Genomic DNA, 5844 nt, shown 5'->3' on the forward strand with positions numbered 1-5844 from the left:
AAACAACATTTGCAGAAAAGAAAGTGTACTATTTTATAAGTTGCTAACATTAGCAACTTCATGATTTGAGATGATAAAGGATCTTACATGTTCACCTGACAATTCTTTTGCAGTCTTTTAATAAGAAGCAATTATAAAGCACTAAGAAGCACCTATTATCTTTTGACAAAGTTAAGGCTCTTTATAAAGATCTAGTTCATCAGTCAGTTACCACCCACATCATATTTCTTTTTTTCATTTGTATTCCTGTTAAAGGTTCTTTCCCTGTCAACCCAACTTACTCTTTTTGCACTTGACAGTAATATTACCAAAGTATTAACTGAAAGAGAATTATGCAAAAGTTGACTACCAAAAGATTTGTACCCTTGAATACACAGGAACAATTTTCACTTGATTTGTGCTCAGTAAAGTGTATCAGAAAGTTCAGAACCCTTCAGACCTCAGGAGGAGCAAATGTTCCTGTCACACTGACCATATGTCTTTTTGTGAATTTACCAAAAGTTCTTCCTGATTCATGAATGTTTGAAATTCAAAACTCATTGTATACAGCTTGTTGGATTTCTTGACATGTAAAGCACTTTTAAAAAGAGTTCTTTTAAAGATAGTGTTAATACTATAATAAAAGTTATAAAATTTGCTTTTAAAATATATATTTCTTTAAATATTGTGCTGTATTATAACTGACCATCAAACAACAGACATGAGAGTTGAGATAAGTGGTGACCAGATCCCTGCTGCCCTCAGGCTCACAACTACCAGCATGGAAATCAGGGAGCAATCCTGCAGTCACTGCAAGTTCAATGGTGATTTGAACGTTTTACATGTTTAATCCTTGCAGCAATTTATTAAGTATATACTCTTATTATCGACTCCATTTTACTCATGAGGAAACTGGAGCACATAAAGTTTGGGGAACTGCCCAAATGTTAAACAGAGAGTGAGTGGGTAAAGCCAGTATCCATACCCAGACAAATGGATTCCAGAGCCCAAGCTTCCAACTAGGATGCTCGGATGCATCTCATAGCAAAATAAGCAAGCGGCTGGCAAGTGGCGTACATCTGGTGGGCGTTTTAACACCAGATGAGTGTGTGTCAGGTAACAAAGTTCTAGTCAGGCAAGCAGGCAAGGAGTGTGAAGAAGATATGGCAGGTGGTATTGGCCCTAAACTTTACGACTAACTCTGAACAACAGGATGTGGAAGGCTGGGGCACAAGAAGTGGGGGCTGAGGCAGGGAAGGCAAACATGTTCCCCTAAAGATGGATCACAAGACAGCGATTATAAAGGCTAGACCGGGAGAACCTATATGTTGTGCAGGAGGAAAAACAGCCTGATGCTAATTCGCCCCTCTGTGTATAAAAGGCTTACGTTCTTCTGCCTGATACCCAGATTGGTTCTAGAGTTTTCAGATTTGGGGACTGATGAACTCCAACAGCAAACCCTGATGAGCTGTACAAGTAGGGAAAGCATGTCCTTGACTGTATCCTCCCATTAAGGCATCTGCTAAGAGAGCAGTCTTGCTGGATGTGGAAGGAATCCTCCATAAAGGTAGTCAGCCTTAGTCTTCCTCACTCTGCCACCATGACTAGCATTTCAATCTTATTTGTATGGGCTTCTGACAAAGGAAATTTGGGGCAGGGAGGGGGCTCTTTCTAAGGCTTATAACAGGTTCTTCCAGAAATATAGAAGAAATTTTTCAGCTTTCCCAATCTCAGTTAGGTCTGTGCTTCCATAGCATCTGAGTAAAAGACCATTGCTATTCTTCTATCCGTTACAATTTTAATGATTTACTGTCTTCTGGTCAAATAGACTGTGGGAGAAATTAGGTCAGACACTGCACATCCACTCATTGGCTCCAGTAGCCAGTTCCAGAGCCTTGTCACAGAGTAGGGGTTCAGAATTGTCAGGTATCCTTCCTCCAAATACTGGAGAAGAGTTGGTGAAGAAGAATGTCGTTTGTACAACTTGTAAAGTATCTGTGTTTTCCACTTGATGGTCTGTTTTGTGCATTGGCTGTAGATTTATTTACTGGAACGGCCTTCTCATCATATACATGTGCACATCCATGACTGATGCCATGCTGTAGTTTTTAACAAAGCATTGTTGAACATTTGAAGGATAATATCAGAAGGGAATAGCTGCGCAGAATATAAAACACTCAAGATTAAAAATTCTTCTGCCTGCAATCCCAGCACTTTGGGAGGCTGAGGTGGGCAGATCACAAGGTCAAAAAATGGAGACCATCCTGGCCAAATGGTGAAACCCCATCTCTACTAAAAACACAAAAATTAGCTGGGCATGGTGGCTGGTGCCTGTAGTCCCAGCTACTTGAGAGGCTGAGGTAGGAGAATCACTTGAACCCGGGAGGCAGAGGTTGCAGTGAGCTGAGATCGCGCCTCTACACTCCAGCCTGGCAACAGAGTGCAGTCTCAAAAAAAAAAAAAAAATGCTTCTTCTCAAGTTTCTAAATTCCCGTGGCTATATTCAATCACATGGCGTCCCAGTGCCAGCCAAAGGACACCTCAGCGAGGAATCTTTCTGTCTTCACTCTTCACCAAGTCCCAGTGCCTCTAAATCTCTCTTGGCCTACCTAAAGTTATCGTCCGTTTTCTTGCATTATTGATGTCTAGAACTTATCACAATTTATTATGAAGTTAAGGGAATAATTTTTAAATTGTTAGCAATTATCCTTACCACCAGATAATAAAACATTGTTGATATATATGAAGACATCCCAGCATTCAGGCATAATGTATGCACTTTCTTCTAAATGGTGCCGTAAAAGAGAACGTCATTTGCAGATATTTGCCATAAGCAACAACCACTCTAAGTGAAGAGAAAAAGTACCTTGCCCCCTCTGGTTTTCACTTAGTAATTTAGGAATTACACGTTATTTATATGGGATTGTATATGTTTATCCACATTTTAATGACTAGATTTAAATTGATTTTAAATTACTATCAATATATTATGATAATCATTAAAACATCATTACATCATTAAACAATCATTTAGAAAGTTTTGCTCCTTTTAAAACTAATGCATGAATTAAGCTGAATAACAACAAAAAAGTATCAATATTTTACCATCACTAACACCATTGAATAATACTGTTTTCATGACCACAAAGTACCGTTTTGCCAAGCATAAGTTATTTAGGCTGCCAAATTATACTGAAAACAAATATCAAATGTCACCAAAATATAAAATCTTCATCCATTTTTCTATATCAGATTGCAAGAGAAGAAAGAACCTGATTTGCTCAGTGATTCATATGAATCTGATTTGAATTAATAATGTAAAATTATTAATGACAGTATTGGATTATATCCCATATAATTAAGAAAACTTCCTGAATTCATATTTATGTAAGTAAATGACTTAAATAATAAATAAATGAGGGATAAAGGTCAATTCTTCCTTACAGAATGATTTCAATAAAAATAATTATGAACAGATCAGTACTTGGGGCAAGGGAAGGAGAGAATTTGGAGAGTTGGAGTAATGGATCTAACGTGGAGTGAAATTAATCAACAGGTTAAACTATTCTATATCTTTGTGAAATTCCCTTTACCATAAAAAGTGGTTCGTGTATTTAAAAATGGTTCTCTGTTACACCATCCTTAGTATAATAGAAAAGGTTTTTTTTCTCAATGTATTCTCAGGGAATAACCCCATGCTTTTGGTTACAGTATTTTCCCCAGTTTATTTTTTTTTTTGTAAAAGATTACACAATATCAAGTCCTTTTTTCGCTCAATATCATAGTTAAGCATTTTTCCACATAGAGTGAGTATTTAATGTTCACATAAAATTTCATCCCGTAGCTGGACCATGATTTTCTCAACCATTTTAGCATAGCCAGACATTGACACTCAGAAGCTGAGGATGGATTGAGTAGTGAGGTACAGCCCAGTTTTCTTGTGCATTTCAGTTGCCTACATGGTACAGCCCTAATACACTGAAGCAAGACCTACTTGTTCATTCAGCACATATTAATTGAGCTCCCACAACATGCCAGACTCTCGTCTAAGAGCATAGGTTAGATTGATGGAAAATAAACAGAGCTCCTTGCCCTCAGAGGGCTTACCTTCTAGCAGAGGGGGACAGAAAATACACCATAAATATATTAGGTTGGGTCAAAAGTAATTGTGTTTTTGCCATTAAAAATAATTTGCACCAACCTAATAATATAACCATAAATTAAATGATAGAGGACGATGTATTCTATGGGGAAAAAATTAAGCACAGAGGAAAGGAGATCAGGAGTGCAAGGATGGGGTGGGGCTACTTGCAATTTGGAAATTGAGAGTTGGGGCTGGCCTCAATGAAGGGCAAAGATGATGAGTGAGCAAACACTGGAATGCTGTGTGGTAGGTATTGCAACTATTTGAAAGAAAAGCAGCTCAGGGAGAGACTGCCAGTATTTGGGCTCATGACAGGTTCAAGTTACTTATGTTCCAGAAACCAAAAGGAGAGTGTACCAGGAGCAATCAAGCCTTTTAGTACCTATGAGTTTAATTATAAGAAAGAAAATGTATGTCCCAGGGAAGTTGAGACAGTTCATAATTATCCGTCAATCCAATGTAATAAGGAGATATTTGAAATATCCTGCATGCATTGTTATTCTCACTCATGAAACCTTTTTATGCCTTTGGCAGTTGTCTGCTCCCTGCTTCCTGGTAATGGTTTTTGATGACTATGTATTATTTCATCATATAGCTTATCCACAAGTTTTTCACAACTCTTCTTTTGTTGGATATTTGGATTAATTCCAATTTTCAATTATTATAAGCAATGCTACAGTGATATCCTTGCTTATATAAATTATTTTTAAAGAATATAAAAATAATAACCGGCCAGATGTGATGACTCATGCCTGTAATCCCAGCAATTTGGAAGGCTGGGGCACAGGGTCCCTTGAGCCCAGAAGTTCAAGGCTGCAGTGAGCTATGATCACACCACTGCACTCCAGCCTGGCTGACAGAAAGAGACTCTGTCTCTAAATAAAACCAAAAACTCTATTTGCAGTTGACTAGTTGACAATACAGGAAAATGGACATACTCCTAAACTACTACTTTGTATTTAACTGTGTGAAGGGTAATTTGGAAATACATAAAAAACACATTAAATGTTATCAAGAAATTCTTGAAATTTATTCTCTGAAAATAATATGAAATGGGCAGAACATTTTGTGATTAAGAATGTTCATTGAATTATGATTTGTAATAATTAAAAATGAAAACAAATTTAACTTATAAAAAACTTAATGATATATCTATATATTGAATTATATGGAAAAAATCTCATAGGTAGTACATTGTATATACAATATTGTATACACATTGTATATTATGATTTTATGGCATATTTGTATTTTTTGGTGTCTGGTGGTGGGATGTTTGCTTTTATAAACACTTTGAAACACATGTGTAATAAAGATATAAGTGTTCTGTTAATGTACACAGTATTTTTTGTTCTTTTATTTCCATTTCTTTTGCAATATTTATTGTGGTTGAGCATTTACTAATGAAATGGTGTTCTGAGGGGATTTTTCTTCTTTGTTTTGTGGACTTTTTGACCACCTCTGACCAAATAGAGTCATATATTCTGTGTATTAGAGGTATTTGTGCATGTAGTTCTTTGTCCCCAGCATGCCTAGATCACCAAGCTTGATTTTTTTCTACACTTGTCTATATCATACCTATAAGACCATGCCTGATACAACCGTGTGTCGTTCCCTTCTCTAAATCATGTTAATAATGAGTGCTTATAGACACCTTTAAGAGAATCATTCACAAGACAACAATCATGCAATTTCCAATGTAGCAGCAGCCACTTGGTTTT

The sequence above is a fragment of the Homo sapiens genome, chromosome 4 (genome assembly GCF_000001405.40).
Source record: "Homo sapiens chromosome 4, GRCh38.p14 Primary Assembly".
NCBI lineage: Eukaryota > Metazoa > Chordata > Mammalia > Primates > Hominidae > Homo > Homo sapiens.